Below are 19,789 nucleotides of genomic sequence, written 5' to 3'. Positions count from 1 at the left end.
AGAGCCCAGCACCCACAAGCACGAATTTATGTTTATATAAAACTAAAATCAAGGGTTTATGAAATAATACTTATCCCTATCACAGGCAATGCACTCTGATATATTTTCTATTCTAGTCTAATCTGTTTCATCTTTTAGTACTGGTTGCAACTCGCTAAACCAGGGATCAGCAAATATTTTCTGCAAAAGGCCTGAGAGTAAATATTTTAGGCTTTGATGACTATATGATCTCTGTCCCAAGTAATTAAATTAACTCTGCCATTGTAGTGGGAAAGCTGCCATTGACAATAGGAAACGAGTGGGGGTAGCGGTGTTCCAATGAAACTTTATTCATACAAATAAATAAAGGCTGAATTTGCCCCATAAGCTGTGATCTAAACTGATTTCATGACCCACTAATGGATCTCAATCCACAGTTTGAAAAACATTGCTGTAGGGGACCACTCCCCAAGTCTTTTCCTCTAACAGAAACCAAGTTTTGCTCAGTGTGTACCTCTCCTACAGGTAATGCAATTCCCCAGGGTACTTAGAAGCTGTGCTTCAGGGGAAGCTGACCATATTCCCAGCACTAGCACTGCATCTTGAACAGTCAACCCACCACATTGTTCACCTGTAACTGCGGATGATCCAGGGGTGTACAGGTGAACTACGCTGGCCTGATTAGTCAGAAGGGAAGGCCATAAAGTCTATGCTTGGGAGAGTGGTTTCTTTCTTTCTACAGCTGGGTGAATCAAGCAATCATGGAGCCCTTCTCCTTCCACCATCGGTAGTTGGAGAGTCGGGACCATCAGAGTAACCAGTCTTAGGAAAAAAGCCAATGCTGAGGATGACAGAGCAGAAAGATGAAAGAACCTGGATCCTTGATTTGACCACATGTTAATTGAATTTAAGCCAGGCTCTCTATCTCTTGTACCCAGAAGCATTCTGATACAAACACAGTACATCAAGAGGCAGGCTCCTGCCCGAAGACAGCACATTGGCTCTATCCCAAACAAATGCAAGCTTCTGGGGAAAGATCAGACAAGTTCCCATTCCAAGCAGCCAGGGACCCAAGCCCTTCACCAGCTGACTGGAGTCCCTCTCCCCAGTGGTGCCAGCCCCACAGAAGCCAGCAGCCTTTAAGGTGTTCTAAGCTCTGGATCCAGTGCTCTTTCCTTCCTCACATAGGCTGGTAAAAGTAGGAGTAAGTGAAATCAGGACCAACTCACTCTATTTTTTTTTCTTTCTTTTTTTTAGATGGAGTCTTGCTCTGTTGCCCAGGCTGGAGTGCAGTGGCACCTCCACCTCTCGGGTTCAAGCGATTCTCAAACCTCAGCCTCCTGAGTAGCTGGGATTACAGGTGCATGCCCCCACACCCAGCTAATTTTTGTATTTTTAGGAAAGACGGGTTTTCACCACGTTGGCCAGGCTCGTCTCGAACTCCTGACCTCAAGTGATCTGCCTGCCTCGACCTCCCGAAGTGCTGGAATTACAATTGTGAGCCACTGTGACCAGCCAACTCACTCTAATTTCTTAATTTAAAAAGCCTCCCATTAGCTGCCTGCTGAAGGAAGGCAGATTCCATGGAAGTTTACATTTTTCAGATGGGTGGTTGTCAGAATAGAAACTTTTCATCCAAATGGGAGATATTGGGCATCCAAGTTGACCCCCGACACCCACCCTGTGGCCTGGGGGGAAACAGACAGGACCACCGCTTTATTGATAAGGCTGCCAGGAGCGAAAAGAAAGGAAAATACTTAATGCCACTGAATCGTACACTCAAAAATGGTTAAAATAGTAAATTCTAAGTTATTCGCATTTCACCACAATTTTAAAAGACTGAAAAGAAGGAAACAGAGTCACATGAGTAGCTCTGAGGGCAGCAGGGCAGGGAGATCACATGTTGAAATCCTACAGAAACTCCTTAGAAAGACAGGCATGAAACACTGTCCTGAGCGTGAGTCTGTACTGCCAGGAAGGCCTGGGTGCAGGTTAGCTCAGGGGTGTGAGTCTGATGGGCTGGTCACACGGGGAAAGGCCTGGGGCTGAGTCAGTGGCAGCAACAAAGCCAGAACCTCCCAGCAGGTGGCTTTCTCTCACTCTCCAGCCTTTCGGCCTGCCCCTGCCCCCACTGTGGGCTGAGAGTGCAGGAGGAGCTTCTGTTGGGCAATCACTCTCAGCAGGCACTGTGACAGGTCCCTAAAAGGGCCAGGAGGATGGAGAGAACTAAGGAAAATGACAAGTTCACCAAGGACTTGGACTAGTTGGTGCCAAGTGCACTTTGTAGGCCCCTGGCCAGCGCCAGGAGGAGACACAAGGGGACAAAGATGCCCAGGTCCCCAGCATCCAAAGCAGAGACTCTGGGTTTCACTCAGAGGCCAATGCTTGTGCAGATAGTAAGAAGGCAGGCAGGCAGGCATTATATCCACTCCTTCCACCCAGCCCAGCTCAGCCTGGCAAATGCTCAGAGAGGGCAACATGGCCCTCTGAGGGGGTGACTCTCCAGAAGAGAGAAGCAAGGCTGAGCTCAGGAAGTAGCTTCTCTCAGGAAGCTTCTTCCTCCATTAGGGTGGAGAGGGAGGAGATGGGGTAGATAACAGTTGTCCTTTTTATCAACTCTATCCCACTAGGCTAGGAGGAGAAGCCCTATAATCCCATGTACCCCCACATGACTGGATATCTGCTCCTTCCTTCTGCTTCTACAGGTTGAACTGTAGGGGATTCCCCTAATAGTGAAATTCCACCGCCATGTAACAAAACCTTGCACGGCAGCAGGGCCTGTGGCAAAACAGAATTTTGCCAGGTATGTGGGAAATAAATGAATGTTTTAAGTGGTCAAGATCTCTCAGTGCTAGTCAAGTAGAGTCATAGAATTAAGGTACTCTACTTAATTTTTTTTTTTTCCTGATCCTGGGAAGGTTCCATGTGAGATTTCCAAAGCAAGTAGAAGTTTGGAGATATGGCCTGATGAGACCTGCAGGTAGACAAGACTACTGGAGAAGCAAGATCCATCTTCCTGCACCCCATGAATAGCACGTCCTTAGCACTTGGACACAATCACGCACACACACACCTGCCTATAACATTTTTCTCTCCGGGCCAGGCGCGGTGGCTCACGCCTGTAATCCCAGCACTTGGGGAGGCTGAAGCGGGTGAATCACTTGAGGTTAGGAATTCGAGACCAGCCTGACCAACATGATGAAACCCTGTCTCTACTAAAAATATAAAAATTAGCCGGGTGTGTTGGTGCACGCCTGTAATCCCAGCTACTCAGGGGGAGACTGAGGCACAAGAATCACTTGAACCCGGGAGTCTGAGGTTGCAGTGAGCCGAGATCATGCCACTGCACTCCAGCCTGGGTGACAGAGCAAGACTCTATCTCAGGGAAAAAAAAAAAAAATATATATATATATATATATATATATATATTTCCTTCCTTCCTTTCCCCTTCCTTCCTTCCCTTCTTTCTCTTTCTTTCTTTCTTTCTCTCTTTCTTTCTTTCTTTCTTTCTCCCTTTCCCCTTCCCTTCCCTTCCCTTCCTGACCTAACAAGCTGAGCTTCCTGACAGCTAGTCCGATATTCAATCTTCGCTAATGGGATCTTCATCTCTAACCGGGAGCCTCAAAAATTTGTAACCCCCAGAAACATACTCTGGGTAGAGGAGGCAGGAGATTCGAAGGACTGAGAGATACACAGGAAAGAGATAAGGCGAGGAGCTCCCAGCCTGGTCGCCCATTTATAACAGTATTTATTGAGCACTTACTGTGTGCCAGGCACTGCCCATGCATTATCTCACATGATCCTCCCACCAACCCCAAAAAATAGGTATTCTTGAGGGGAGCAGGGTACAAGGCAATGGAAAGGACATAGGCTTTGAGATCTGCTCTTAGATTCAACTACTCCTTGCCATATATCATTTGGGGAAATTGATAGGCAAACAGATCATTTCAGTCCAGTAAATACAGGCTATCCCAGGATAGCTTTTACAGGTCCTGCAGTGATCAAAAGAAAAGGCTTTGTGGAGGAAGGATGCTTGAACTGCAGGGGGAGTGAAGTGCACTCTGCAGACATGCACAGAAGATGTTCCAGTCAGAATAAATTATGTTTATGGCAGCAGAAACACAATGCAGTCCACCTGGGGAGTGGCGGAGACAGAGACTGGCCTCTGGGAGGCAAGGCTAGAGTTTTGTCTACCATGCCAATGAATTTAGGTTTCATCTTGCTGGTGATGAAGGACCATCTAAAGGAATCGTGTGTTACATGAGGAGACCTTCAGCAAGGGAGAGGTGGATGAGTGAGGCCATGCCTGGAGATGCTGGGCCAGCTAGCAGACAGTTTCAACAGGCAGAGTCACATGAGGAGAGCCCAAAGGCAGCAGGAAGGGAGTGGGGCCGAAGGAGTGAACTTCAGAGGCTTTCAGGTCCTAGAGTAGGATGAGAGAGAAAGAAGAATAGGAGACGGTTAAGGTTGGGGCCTGGAGAGCTGTACAGATATTGATGCTATTCGCCAATCCAGGACATGCAGAAGGAGCATGCATCAGCCCCGGGCCCGCAGGAAAGAGGGAGCCACTCAAACTAGGATAATGCACAGAGGGTGTTTTCACAAAGGTGTGAGCGTGGTGTCGGATAAAGGCAGGACTAATGCAGTAACCTAGAGCCAGTAGCAGTGGAGTGAAGGAGCTTCTCCCATCACCCAGCCAGAAGACCAGGAGGAGAACAGCTACCTGGACCAGAAGGAGAGGGTCTTGTAGAGAAGCTCCCTTGAGAGGATCCCCTTCTGCCAAGGGACAGCCAACCTAGGTGGTCTTGCTGGGAGCATGACAGAGGAGTTAATTCCCCGGTTTCATGTTCCTCCTTTCCTCCACTCCTCTGAGGGTTACTAGCCAAATCCACCGAAGGCAGCCACCAAGACATCCTCACAGATCAGCCTCCCAGGACACACAGCAGGGCAAAGAAGGTGGAGATGGATGGGAGGGGAGCAAGGAGCAGATTTGGAGGAGTGCAGCATGGTCCTAGGAGAGCGCCATCCCTGCTGCCCCTAGCTGTGTGGCCTTGGCCAGGTTACCTAACTTCTCTAATCCTCAGAGAGAGGTTGGGGCTGAATACTCAGGAGTCTTCAGTGGAAAGGTGGATGCCATGGGTGTGCTGCGATTTCCTGGAGAAGGTGTAGCTTAGAGGGGAACTGGGGCAGGCTGAAGAGTGAGAGTCAGGGTACGAGGCTGGGGAGGAGCCACCACACAGTCAGCAGTAGCTTCCTCCTCTGGGATCCTCTAGCATTTTCTCTTTAACTTCTCACAGAAGACTTTACAGATTTTATTGCCACTGCTTCCGTGTGCCTCCCATCAGAGTGTGAGCACCTTTGTTCCTCAGTCCCTCAAGGCCGATGCATGGTCAGCCCTTGTTAGTTGAGTGAATGAACAAACAACACTGAAGAAGCTGCCCTTGAAAAACCGGGGCATCGGTTAAGGGCTTTGAGCAGAGGATAGAAGACAGTGGAGGAGGAGGCTCAGGAGGAAGTGGGATGTCAAGCTGTGGGGCAGCTGCAAGACCTTGCATGCATTTGGTGGAAATTTCCTAGGGGCTACCAGGGGGCAGGCTGTGCTTGGGACTAGAGGCTAGAGAGGTGGGGAAGGCTCAGTCTCTGTGCTCAAGAGACAGCCCTCTGGACAGAGCACGGCAGCTCCTCCATGACACAGCTGTCCACAAGCTTCGGAGCACAGCTCCTTGTTAGTGAGTGGTGGTGTTAGGCAGGTGGGGAGGTGGGGGAAGTTGAAAGGTATCCTGGGGATGAGCAAAGTCTGATTTGGGGGTGAAGGGGAACATGCAACAATGAACCCAGTTCAATGTTTAGGGCAAACGTTTAATGCAGGAAGCAGTGAGAGGTAAGACTGGAGCCATAAGCAGGCAGAAGCTCATGGAGACCCAAGTGCCCAGATGTGGACTTTTCCTTATAGGCAGTGGAGCTCCCTGAAGGGTTCTGAAGCAGAGAAGAGCATACATAGTCAGGTGTGCTTCTTACCTGGACTACTGCTGAGGGATATTTAGGATGCAGCATCCTCTGGATGGTTGCTATAATAATAACTATTGTGACAAAGCTTCTTCCTGTGGAGCTGTTGTGTTTGCAAATCGGACCAAGGTCCCAGGCATCCAGGCCATGGAGCTAAGTTCCTAGCCCAGGTCTCTGGTCAGGGCATAAGTCATTCAGTGTGCCAAACCTCTGAAAGGTAGCCCGGCCCCTTTATTTACCATACTACACACAGCCAGTTCACCTTCTCCTCCTGAGCACCTGGAAAAGCTAACAGATGTGCCACGGTTCAACACAGCTTTTCTGTGCTGCTATTACAAACCCACAAGATTGAGTGGGGATCATGGTCTGTGAGTTGCCATGAAGAAGCAAATAATCGGCTGGGCGCAGTGGCTCACACCTGTAATCCCAGCACTTTGGGAGGCCAAGATGGGCGGATCACCTGAGGTCGGGAGTTCGAGACCAGCCTGACCAACATGCAAAAACCCCGTCTCTACCAAAAATACAAAATTAGCTGGGCATGGTGGCACATGCCTGTAATCCCAGCTACTTGGGAGGCTGAGGCAGAAGAATCACTTGAACCCAGGAGGCGGAGGTTGCGGTGAGCTGAGATCATACCATTGCACTCCAGCCTGGGCAAGAAGAGCAAAACTTCATCTCAAAAAAAAAAAAGAAAAAAAAAAAAGAAGAAGAAGAAAAAGCAAATAGTCATTTGCCAGAACCTGAAGCCACAGAGCCACTGAGCTCCATAATCCCTTGCATAGGCTGAGTCGTGCAAACACTTGGGGGAAAAAATCAGGATGGTGTGAACATAGTGTTGAGGGAGTGTTAGAGCAGAGAGCAGCCTGCCCACATGGCCCATCAGGACACAAAGCCAGGATCTCGCAACGTGAATGGAATATTACCTCCACCCTGTGTTGATTGAATGAGGCAATCAGCAGAAGCTGCTATGAGAATACTGATGGCCAAAGCTAAATATTGGGTGATAAATCTGTGCTGGCTAATTTTTCACTACAATAAGTCAGCCACATGCTTCTGGGAAGCCCCTGGGAACCCCGGCCCAGTTCAGGGACTTCATTGCTCTATTCTTCTCATTAAAGAATAGGCCAGATGCAGTGGCTCATTCCTGTAATCCCAGCACTTTGGGAGGCCAAGGTGGGTGGCTCACCTGAAGTAAGGAGTTTGAGACCAGCCTGGACAACATGGTGAAACCCCACCTCTACTAAAAATACAAAACTTAGCCGGGCATGGTGGCACATGCCTGTAATCTCAGCTACTTGGGAGGCTGAGGCACTAGAATTGCTTGAACCCGGCTCTGCCTCTTGCCTGCCTCAGGGAGAAGGGCAACCCAGCCCCTGCTTCAAGGGACCCTGACAAGAGGTGAGAAGAGTCCCAGGGCTGGACTAGGAACAGGCAGGAAAGGAGGCTACCTGTGGCAATGTCAGGAGAAACATATTCAGTCTTAAATAAGAAAATGGGGCTGGATATGGTAGCTCATGCCTGTAAACCCAGCACTTTGGGAGGCTAAGGTGGATGGAATGCTTGAGGCCAGGAGTTTGAAACCAGCCTGGCTAACATGGCGCAACTCTTTCTCTACTAAAAATACAAAATTTAGCAGGCATGGTGGCACACACCTGTAATCCCAGCTACGTGGGAGGCTGAGGCACGAGAATCACTTGAGCCCGGGAGGCAGAGATTGCAGTGAGCTGGGATAGTGTCACTGCACTCCAGCCTGGGTGACAGAGTGAAGAAAGAAAGAAAATCATAGGATCAGAATAAGAATCCTTGGCTCTCTTCAACCTAACTTCCTCCATCTGCTTCCACTTCTCCCGCCACCTCCTGCCCTCATTCTTCATTTTATTTTTTTAATATATATTTTGTAGAGATGGGATCTTGCCATGTTGCCCAGGCTGGTCTCAAACTCCTGGCCTCAAGCAATCCTCCCATCTCAGCCTCCCAAAGTGCTGGGATTATAGGCATGAGCCACCATGCCCAGCTCTGCCCTCATTCTTATGAGGAAACAGGCAAATGAACCAACCTAAGGGCCTTCTAAGTATTCTATCTAATAAGAACTTGATATACAATTCCTGCTTGTGATTATAAACTAATTCAGGAATGTCAAAGGATTTCATTCCAGGTCAGTGCTGACTGATTCGTAATGGCTGCCTGGAGAAGTATGTTGAGACTGAGTCTGAAGCTGCTTCTAGGCTCAGTGGGGAGGGTGCCAATGTTGATTGGTGATGCCTGCCATGGGTGCAGGATAGGAAAATGCTGGCACACATGCCATGTATTTTCTAAATAGGGGACTCTACAATGAAATAATTCACCTACAGTGGAAAATATCAATGAGATAACCACAGGCCCAGGATAAAGGGAGTTTCAACTCCTTGTGGGAGGTCCTAGTTATGTTTCTGCCTCTGATCACATTGCACTTTGGCAATGCAATTATAAGCCTCCTGATTCAGGTCACCCTTTTGGAGTCATAGATCTTCTTTGAGAGTTATGGATTGTTGGTGTTGAGAATTGAGTTATAACCCATCAATGCTTTCCCCATTTCTAGAAGTCCATGGAATAAACTTTTTTTTTCAACATTTTGATAAGGAGTCCTGGGGCTGAGCCCTGAAAAGGCCTGCCTCCCAAGATGCCAGTCCCTTCTAAGGAAGTCACCCCGTCCTGGCCATCCTGGACAGAGGCCATGTGACCATGCACATGGGCTAAGATGACTCCTATAGGCTCGTAGGATTTCCCTAAAAAATGAAATATTCTTCATTTTTTCCTCAATGTTTGCCCTCTTAAAGTGGCTCTTTTCAGCTCTGAGCAAAATAAGACCTAGCACCTTCAGATTTCTAGGTCATGGTTCCCTTCACATCCGTGGAAGTTCACTTTGAAAATTGTCTCCCAGAGCCCAGTAACTGATTCCCTTCAGGAAGCAGGGACTGAGGTGGCTGCAAGGGCACAGCCATTCAAAAGGGGATGTGCCTCTTCCTCTACACAGTTCCTGCTCGTTCCAGATAACTGTGGTGGTGAAGGGCCACGCTGCCTCTGGGGCATCCTGCTACAAATGGCACTCTAGTCACGTATGGGTGGTGTCTCTCTCTCTCTCTCCTGCTTGCTCCCCAGCCCAGGATGGGCTTTAAACAAGATAACAGATTCCCCCTGAATAGAACTTCTGTTGGAAAGGAGACTTCAGTGTCCCCCTAAGATGCAGGCCAGAAAGGAGGCATTCAAACAGACACAGGAGAAAACAAAATTGGGCAGAACATGCCTTGGACAGAAGAGTTAAGCATGGGATTGAAGATCATTTATTGATATCAGGAAATAGTAATATTAGATAGCTAAGTGGAAAATGCTAGAAGCAAAAAAGAATATACAATGTGATTTCACTTTGCCTGTGTGTGTGTGTGCACACAGAGAGTAAAGACTGAAAAGAAAAAGAAATAAAAATGTTAACATTTTTGTCTTGGCAAGTTGGCATTGCTAATACTGGGGGTTATTTTGTTTTGTCTTCATACATTTTTATATTTTCTAAGTTTTTTGTTTGAGCATGTGTTCCTTTTATAACAGAAAATTAATTAAATGTTATTTTAAAATAATTATAAAGGGGACTAAAAAAGAGCATGGGTGATGGAGTCATTTACAACTGAGCTCAGATCCTCATTAGCCGGTACCCTTAGACAAATTATTTAATTTCTCTGGGCCTGTTTACTCCCCCTAAATCACCTGAATAGTACATGCTTAGAACAGAGAAGACAAGCCTATTGCTTTTATGGTGGTTATGGTTTCAGAGCAGGGATGCTTAGCAGTCAGCAAAAGGTGGTTGCGGGGCGAGGAGGAGATTTTTGGTTTCCTCTGCTGAGACTGATGATCTAGAGAGGAAGCAAGGCAGCCCCAGGGAACCAAGGAAACGGCCCGGCTGGGAGGTACTCCAACAACCTGTATCCCCCTGCCATCCCCCAACCCAGGCATGCAGAGTGGAAAACAAACACCAGAGACCTTTGGGACTCCAGTGGGCAGGACTCCAGTCCCGTCTGTGGCCATGACTAATGTGAGCTCAAAAGTCTGGGACACAGTCTCCAAACACAGATGGCAGACATGTTCCTTCTGAAACCCTCTGTAAGTGCTTGCAAGTGGGCCAAGCTGCGCTGGGAGGCGTAGATGGACGGGTTTGTCTGCAAGCTGGTAAGGCCCATGGCCAAGTGAAGTAGCCGGGCAGTGGCAAAACGGACACAGGGGGACACCAGGATGGGGCTGAGCCTGGGCATGGCTCCAAAGGCCTTTAAAGACACTGCAAAGCATGGGAAAAGCAGGGGCGCCTCCACAGTGGCACAGCAGTGCCTGCCAAAGGAGCAGCCCTGGCTCCACTCTGCCATGTAAATCTCTCTCCAAAGCACTCAAGTTAATTTCAGCAACAGCTCCCCCGAGCTCCAGCTGATCACCAGGACACCTCCTGTCCTAAGGAAAATAAGAAAAGGAACAGCCAGATTTGTCAAGAAATTAATTGAAAACAGCAATGAGTGGATCATGAATTTATAATAAGATAGTAATTTACTCCTTTCTCAAAGGCAGACTCGGATGCCAGTTTCCTTTCCCTCTGACGCCTGCTGATCCAAAGCCCCTGTATTCTGGGAGGCGTCAGTCCTGCCACCAGTGGACAGCTGTTCCCTCTCTAGCAGAGCTACAAAATACAAGTCCTCGCCCACCTCCCAGCCCAGGAGTCAGGGCTGCAGGCTTCAAGTAGAATCCAGGATGCCTCTTCCAAAGAAAGCAAGAAAAAATACTATTCATTCATTATCCGTTTCATTTATATGTTTGCCTTGAGTAGCTTCTTTTTCATATGGGTGATTAGAGCAAACTAGAAGGAAACCCAGGGATTAGACAGCATCCCCAGGCCCAGCACAGCACCCAGGATTTAGGTGCAATCTCATCGTTGATGGATGAGAATAGCAAGGCGTGGGGAGACTACAGGATGGGTCAAGGTCACAGAAACAATGAGCAGGCAGGTCTGCTGCTCCCAACCCGCTCTATCTAGCACATGGCTCCTTCTTCAATTCTGTTCTACAAACCAGAGCATGTGGAAAGGGGCAAAGATGAAAAAGACACAGTCCCTACCCTCAAGAGACCAGGGCATAAAAAATTTCTGTGATGTTAAAAAATAATACTTTGAGTCCAAACCTTGGAAATAAGGCCAAGAGAGAACAGCATGTCCTTCCAACGTCATTCTGGGCATTTCTTCACAAGCCTACCCAAGGATTGCTTAATTACCTCAGGGAAAGTATCTCCCTGTGACTTGGCTATTTATTATTCATTAAGGGCTCAGACTCTGTGAAGTTATGTGTTAACTTACAGATCTTATCCAGTAAGTATAAATAATTTCTATCTAATAAAAAAGATAACACCAAAGATTATGATGTTTTAATTGCCCTGTAGGGTGTTAGCCAGCTTTGTTTTTTAATTGGTACAAAGTTTACCATCTTAACCTTTTTTTTTTTTTTGAGATGGAGTCTTGCTCTGTTGCTCAGGCTGGAGTGCAGTGGTGCGATCTCAGTACACTGCAACCTCTGCATCCTGGATTCAGAAAATTCTCCTGCCTCAGCCTCCCAAGTGGCTTGAATTACAGGTGCGCACCACCACACCTCGCTAATTTTTGTATTTTTAGTGGAGACTGGGTTTCGCCATATTGGTCAGGCTGGTCTCGAACTCCTGATCTCAGGTGATCTGCCCGCCTCGGCGTTCCAAAGTGTTAGGATTACAGGCATGAGCCACTGCACCCGGGCCATCTTAACCATATTTCAGCGGAGTTAAGAACAGTTCAGTGGTATTAAGCACATTTATGTCATGCAACCATCACCACCATCCATCTCCAGAACACTTTTCATCTTGCAAAACTGAAACTTCTCAACCATTAAACAATAACTCCCTATTTTGTCTTCCCTCAACCCCTGGCAACCATCATACCTTCTGTCTTGATGATTTTGTCTATCATAAGTACCTCATATAAGTGGAATAATACAGTATTTGTCTTTTTGTGACTGGCTTATTTCATTTTGCATAATGTCCTCAAGTTTCATTCATGTTGTAGCAAGTGAGATGGAGCAGGGACTTGTAACAGAACCAAACTGAGGTCTGCTCACCCAACACAGTAAAACCAGATACCCACACCCAGGATTTTGTGGTGATAGAAAGGAAGGTGTTTATTGCAGAGCACTAAGTAAGGAAGACCAGACAGCTAAGTGCTCAAAACCTAGCCTCCCCAGTGGCTTGCCGGCAAGGATTTTTAGAGGCAGGAATAAATTTCAGAACAGCAGAAGCTACAGGCAAAATCATAAATTGCAAAATTGATTGCCAGGAGGTTACACATTGGCTTAAGTTTAAAAGGGTGGGATGTCTTGAATAGGGGGCTTGCAGGCTGCAGATAGATTCAAAGATCTTCTGATTTGCAATTGATTATGGAAGAGAAGCTTTGTTTAAAAATGTGGGGGTCAGGGCTGGGCACAGTGGCTCACACCTGTAATCCCAACACTTTGGGAGGCTGAGGCAGGTGAATAGCTTGAGCTCAGGAGTTCGAGACCAGCCTGGGCAACATGGCGAAACTCTGTACAAAAATACAAAAATTAGCTGTGCTTGGTGGTGCATGCCTGTAGTCTCAGCTACTTAGGGGCTGAGGTAGGGGGATTGCTTGAGCCTGAAAGGTGGAGGTTGCAGTGAGCTGAGATTGTGCCACTGCATTGAACTCCAGCCAGGGTGACAGAGTGAAATCTTGCCTCAAAAAAAAAAAAAAAAGTCATTGTCAAATATAATACCATGGACCTTTTTCCCTATGTTTTCTTCTAAGAATTTTATAATTTTAGCTCTTATGCTTAAGTCTTTGATCCATTTTGAGTTAATTTTTGTATATGGTGGAAGGTAAGGTAAGGGTTCATTCTTTTGAACATGGATATCTAGTTTTCCCAACACGATTTGTTGAAAAGACTGTGTTTTCCCCATGGAATGGTCTTGGCACCCTTGTCAAAAATCATTTGACCATATATGCAATGGCAAGTTTTATTTTTAACCTAGAAATTTTAACATTTCCTTTTAAATGACCATAAGTATTCATTTCCTCAAAATGCTCTTTGAATTAGCTTAACTACATTATTGGTTCCCTCCTTCATGAGTTGCTAAGTCTTCGGCATGTGTCCATTTTATATTTGAAGGAGGTATATTGTAAATATTTGAATATTATGCTTTTACAGTAATGTACAAAGTGTTATGGGAGTCAGGGTGAAGATCATTTCTAATGGGGGAATTCAAAAAACTTTTCACGTCCAGGCGCGGTGGCTCACGCCTGTAATCCCAGCACTTTGGGAGGCAGAGGTGGGTGGATCACTTGAGGTCAGGAGTTTGAGACCAGCCTGGCCAATATGGTGAAACCCCGTCTGTACTAAAAATATAAAAATTAGCCAGGCTTGGCGGCACGTGCCTGTAGTCCCAGCTACTTGGGAGGCTGAGGCAGGAGAATCGCTTGAACCCAGGAGGCAGAGGTTGCAGTGAGCTGAGATTGTGCCACTGCACTCCAGCCTAGGCAACAGAGTGAGACTCCTTCTCAAAAAAAAAAAAAAATTCACTTTTGAGATCGGCCTTATGATTAATGCATGAATTTTTGGTAGATAGAAATCGAAGTTTGAGGCAGACATTTCAAACTCTGGAGACAGCAGGATGAATGTTTTTCTTCTTATTTACTTTCATTATTGTGTGTCTTACTCAATCAAGTCTAATAGCTGTAGGGTCAAAGAAGGAAAGCTCCCCCTTTGCCTTCTGAAGGTCCACTGAAAATACCCTAACAAAAGGCAGATTGATAAAAGAAAAAGGCATACAAAATTCATTTAACATGTGGGGTAGGGATCATAGAAGCACGATCACACAGTCATCTAATGAGATCCAGACAGAAACTTATATACCCTTCCTCATAGGGGAGTGGGAGATGGAGAATGTTGGTAATTCTTTTGAGGAGTAGTAAATGATTCTTAGGGAGAATGAATGGGCGTAGAAGACACAAATTGACGTGTAAATGACTCTTTAGAATTTGAATGAGTTGGAGAGACAGATATTGTTTTGTGAAAATACTGTGTAGTACATTCTGTGTTACATGTTTTGTGTAAATACTGTGTAGTATGTTACATTACTGTGTAATACTGTGTATTACATTCCCCAGTCTTCTTTTCTGCCATAGATAATGAGATTTCAGGAAGGGAATGGAACGCAATTGTGTTCTCTTTGGCAGATCCAGTCTTGTGGTAGATAAGGAGATATCAGAGTAAAGCTTCTTCCAGCATCAAAGGCCTCTAACTTAAAATAACCAACATACCAAAGTGCCATATTGTAGTCACCCAGTGGGTCCTTCTTGCCCACTGCACAGATAAAGCTGATTCACTGACAGCAGTACTGCCCTAAGAAAGAGTTTAATTAACATAAGGCTAGCCACACAGAAGACAGGAGTTTATTACTCCAATCAGTTTCTCTGAGAACTCAGAGGTTAGGGTTTTTATGGATATCAATTTGGTGGGCAGGGGGCTAGGGAATGGGTGGTGCTGATTGGTTGGGGATGAAATCATAGATAGAAGTGTGGAAAACGGTCCTCTGGTGCTGTGTCAGACTGGGTAAGAACCACAGGACCAGCTGAGTCATGAGTCATGGGATCTGGGTGGAGTCAGTCACCAGAATACCAAAGTCTGAAAAAGATCTCAAAAGACCAATCTGAGGTTCTACAATAGTGATGTTATCTATGGGACCAATTGGGGAAGTTACAAATCTTGTGAGTGCCAGTGCAATAAACGATGACAGAAAGGCAAGCTATGCCTACATCTTATCAGAATTCAGGCCCCTTCCATAATCCTAATTTTGTGGCCTTTCATTAGTCTTACAAAGGCAGTTTCAGTCCCTGAACAAGAAAGGGGTCAGTTTTAGGGAGGGACAATTATGATCCTGGCTTCAAAGTTAAACCATAAATCCCTCCCAAGATTAGCTTGGCCTATGCCCAGGAATGAGACAGAACAGCCAGCCTGTGAGGCTAGAAGCAAGATAGAGTCAGCCATGCCAGGCTTCTCTCACTGTCATAATCTTTGCAAAGGTGGTTTCAACATTTTGGGGTGAACTTCCCTGGACTCCTTCATGGCCTACACAGATGGAATCATTCTACATGAGGAAACCCAGAGAAAAGTTTCTTGCCTCTCTCACATACTGTTTCTCTTCACAGCCCTTCATGAGAGACCCCTGTTACAGCTCTAGGTCAGCCCAGCCCCTCCCAAGCCCCCACCTCACCCGCTTTCCCTACCCTGCCAGAGGCTGGAAAGGGCCTCAGCCTTTCCATCAGCACTTTGGGTCATCTCTGATTCTGCCTGAGCTAGGGAATTGCATTTCCCGACTGTATCATCCCATCACATGAGACATTCATGAAATATCACCCTGACAGACTCTTAATGTTATCAGCATCAATCACAGGGATCAACGGCAAACACGCCTGAGACAGAGCAGCCATCTCTGTCCGATCCAGAGTATTATTAATTGGGAAGCTTGTTTCTGGCCGCAGAGGCTGAAATCTGCAGCCCTGGAGTGACCTTTGCTTTGGCCGCCAAGTGTCCCTGGCTGAGGCTGGCAGCAAAGCCCTCTCTTGTGGTTCTTTACTGTAGAAGGTTCTTCTGTCCCTGGCTGAAGCAAGGAGTCAGAACTGAACACTGACACATGCATTCTGAGCATCTCAGGTGTGCACATTCCTTCTTGGGTTTTTTGAAGTCACATTGTTGTGGTCCCCAGGCCTTCCTAACCCATGACAGTGGCATTTTCTGAGACTCTCAGCAGCCAGGGCAGCCTGCACTGTGGCTGGACACGCTGGATGTCCCGGTTTCCAAGGGCCCAGAGCCCATCACTGTCCTCCACCGGAAATTCACACATGGAAGTAACTGAGAGGCACCTCGGCTCACTGAGCCCCACTTGCTGGCAAGACCCACGGCCTTCAGCTTCAGCACCCCCTCCACCCTTCCTTGAGCCTCAGCTCTCCAGACACCCTGTCTGAGGCCCCCACTCATTCCAGCCCCTCAGCTGTGGTTCAGCCTCTACAACCCGTAAAAGGCACATCCTCTTGGGGTCAGCAGGGCTCTCTAAGGTGCTGACCAAGGATGGAGTGAAGCAGGGCTGTCTAGGTGGCTTTCCAGGCTGACTGATCTACGTGTACTGCGTGTGACTGACGGCAGGCCAAGCGTTGGCTGGACTGCATCTGATTTCATTCTTCACTAGCTGGGTAACCTTGGGCAAGTCAACCTCTATACACCTCAGTTTCCACATCTGTACAAAGGTTCTAATAATAACACTTACCTCATTTAACAATTAAGGCTTCTGGATAGTAAATATAAAACATGGAGTACAGAGCCTGGCAATAATTAATCCTCAACAAATGTTAACTATTTCTTGAGGGGCAGGAGGTGGATTCTGTCCTGTTTGTGTGAGTGTGTATATATAACATAAAGTCTCGGGGAAAGGAAAAGTGGAAAAAGGGCCAGAGAACTTGCTGTTCATTTCCCCAGACATTGTCTTTGCTGATCAATGTTTTTACCAACTCATAAAGGAGGTTAGTCCTCATTTCATATTCCCTTGTCCAGAGAGTGATAAACTGTCATCTCCTTAAAGTAATCTATGCTGCTTTCGAATCAGCTCTTCTCCACCTTGACAGATGGGATTAGATTCATCTCACTTCCCCTTTGGCAATTGAAAATATCAATGAGATATTAGTGTGCTTGCCTCTGACTTTCTCCTGGGGCAAAATACTGATGGTCCAGAATGAATGTGGCAGTTGATTTACTGTGTGGTGTCTGAAGGCACACAGACAAGTCCTCCTGTTGATGAGGGGAAATGGGGAGAAGGGAACCCCTAGCCACTTTATGGGACTGGCTCACAGGCCTGTGTTGTTCAAACTAGTTGAGGAGACACAATTGCAGAGGAGCCGACTCACCTGGGCCAACTCACTCAACATTGCCTGGGAGAATGGTCAGCCCCAGTATTAGAGACCCAAGACAATGAAAATTTTCAAGTTCTATGACCTTGACCAGTTAGTTGACCTCTCCAGACCTCAGTTACTTCATTCACAAAATGGGGATAGAGTCATGGAATGACTGTGAGATTAAATGAGATAATGTCCATGAAAGTTGTCAGAATCAAAATGGAATCACTAACAAGAAACCCCTGATAAATAGAGCTAGGGAAGGCCCTGAAGAGAGCATTCTCATGCTTGTATGCCTGGTAACAAAAGCTATCACAAAAGATTGCAAAAGCCACAACCTCCTACAAAAGCCATTACAACCTTACACAAAAAAGACTTCTGCAAAGACATCTGCCCAGCAACTGCCTGTCCAACCTTGGACTCGCATCACCCTTGTTATTGATCTTTATAGCCAAGGATAATTATTTCAAAACAATTATGTAATTCTCCACATTTTTTCTGTTAAAAACCTTTGTCTTCCTCTACCTCCCTGAATACATGCATTACTAAGGCAGGCATATTCCTATGCAATGCTCTATTCCCAAATAAATATTCTTTTCTTTTATAGAGACTCTCTTTGTTTGTTATTTAGGTTGACAATGGATCTGCTTTGTAAATGTTGATTTTTCATCTTTAAGTACCAGAGTAAATGCAATGTTCTTGAATGAGATACTGACCAAACTTACAGATATTAAACTGAGGCGTGGAGAGAGGTGGCATCCATAGCAGTCAAGTAAATCAGAAAGTGCTGCCTTTGCTGCTGTTGACCGTTGTGATTACCCCAGTTTCTGCTGCCTCCTTGGGAGCTGGAATAATGCACAGGTGAAGGGTTGGAGAGGGTAAGTTTCCTATGAGATTTCCAAAGGGAATTTCTTCACTAATGAAACAATCATTCACTGAACACCTATGAGCCAGATGCTTTTCTAGGCACCATGAAGGGTAAAGACAAGACACTGAAGTTTTAAAAAGGCCCTGATTCTGGCTGGGCATGGTGGCTCACGCCTGTAATCCTAGCACTTTGGGAGGCTAAGTCGGGCAGAGCACCTGAGGTCGGGAGTTCGAGACCAGCTTGACCAACATGGAGAAACCCCGTCTCTAAAAATACAAAAAAGTTAACTGGGTGTGGTGGCGCATGCCTGTAATCCCAGCTACTCGGGAGGCTGAGGCAGGAGAATCGCTTGAACCTGGGAGGCAGAGGTTGCGGTGAGCCGAGATTGTGCCATTGCACTCCAGCCTGGGCAACAAGAGCGAAACTCCATCTCAAAAAAAAAAAAGAAAGAAAGAAAGAAAAGAAAAAGGCCTTAATTCTGAGGTTTGGTGCTTCACTATTCATCCTCCTCCCTCTCCCTCTCCCTTTCTCCCAACCAGGAGAGCTCTGTCCCTGAAAGGAATGGGGAGAGACAGATGCCTACTCTATTCAAGTCCTCTCCTAGAATTTGGTGCCTGTCAGCCAGCCGTGGTGGCTCATATCTGTAATCCCAGAAGTTTGGGAGGCCGAAGCAGGAGGATTGCTTGAAGCCAGGAGTTTGAGACCAGCCTGGGCAACAGAGTGAGATCCCCATCTCTACAAAGAAAATAAAAAAATTCAAAAGAATGTGTTTCCTGGAAACAGTAGTGCAGGCCCCAATCTCCGGGCAGGGTCATGCGTGGAAGCTGTTATTGGTAATGATCGTTGGTCTGAAAAGTTTCTCTTACCCAAAGTTCAAGTTGAGTTTTTTTTTTTTTCATTATCTCTAGCTTATTAACTATATAGAGCACAAACTCCTTCAGTGAGGAAGCCCTGTCTGAATTATTATTGCTATCTGCATAGAATTTGGCAAAGTAGGGGTAAGGGATCCATAAAGAAATGGAACTGTGGATCTACAGTGAGACTCTGAGATGCTTTATGATGACCCTTATCTCTAGGAGCACAAAGTACAATGATCAACACTCCCAAATTCCATATTAGTCTAGGCTCATGCAGGAGAGAAGGTAGAATGCACCTCTCCCGTTTGTCAAGGAGTGGAATGCTGCCCAGTAAAGTTGTTTGGAGACATTGTGGAAGAGGCTGTGGTGTCAATCCCTCCAGAGGGATTCTTGCTTTGCATGAGGCAGAACTCAGGTAGGACATTCACACTCAGAGGTGTCCTACTCAGTCTAAGCTTCTAGTGACAAAGCTTCTAATCACACATGAGGAAAATGCCCCTGCTGGTCTCACACTCTGGGAGCAAGAGTTCTCCCTCATGCAAAGCAAGAATCCTTCTGGATGCTTTCATGCTGCTCACCCGCTTTTGAATGGCTTTGCTATGTGTGGGCCACTTTCAAGACAGTTACATAGAGCAGAGCATTTTCTCTCCAGCCTCCTTTACAACTAAAGCCAGGTATGTGATCCAGGCTCCATCACTGCTGGGAAGGGCAGCAGTAGAGGCATCTGGCTTCAGGGGAAGCAGTGATTGCAGGATTACGTTCCTCCTGCAGAGGGGCATTTTCCTCATGTATGATTTGAAGCTTTGTCACTAGAACTTAGACTGAGCTCTCTAGTCCTCCCAGTTCCACAAGCTACCCAATGTCATTTTAATTAACTTCCTTTCCTATTCTTTAAACCAGCGTCAGCTTCTGTTGCTTGCAGCTAAGAATGCTGAATGCAGTCTAATCCACATTTGCCTCAGCTGTCATTTCTTGAGATCCTAATGACAACAGCTTTCATTTGTTCAGTGCTTACAATGGTGCCTGGAACTGTGCTAGGAGCTTTATATTGCATTGTCTCATGAAATTCTCATAATGACACTGCAAGGTAAG

General features: G+C 46.4%; 1 annotated feature.

Moving 5' to 3' along the window:
* Nucleotides 1,971-2,160: a silencer, noted in NCBI's record as "silent region_1174". NCBI's record gives its function as "represses an Ori minimal core promoter by ATAC-STARR-seq in GM12878 lymphoblastoid cells {active_cell/tissue: GM12878}" and the evidence as "EXISTENCE:reporter gene assay evidence [ECO:0000049][PMID:35858748]".

Source organism: Homo sapiens, chromosome 1, assembly GCF_000001405.40.
Source record: "Homo sapiens chromosome 1, GRCh38.p14 Primary Assembly".
Lineage (NCBI taxonomy): Eukaryota > Metazoa > Chordata > Mammalia > Primates > Hominidae > Homo > Homo sapiens.
The sequence above is the reverse complement of the archived record's forward strand: the minus strand, read 5'-3'. Positions and strand labels throughout refer to the sequence as shown.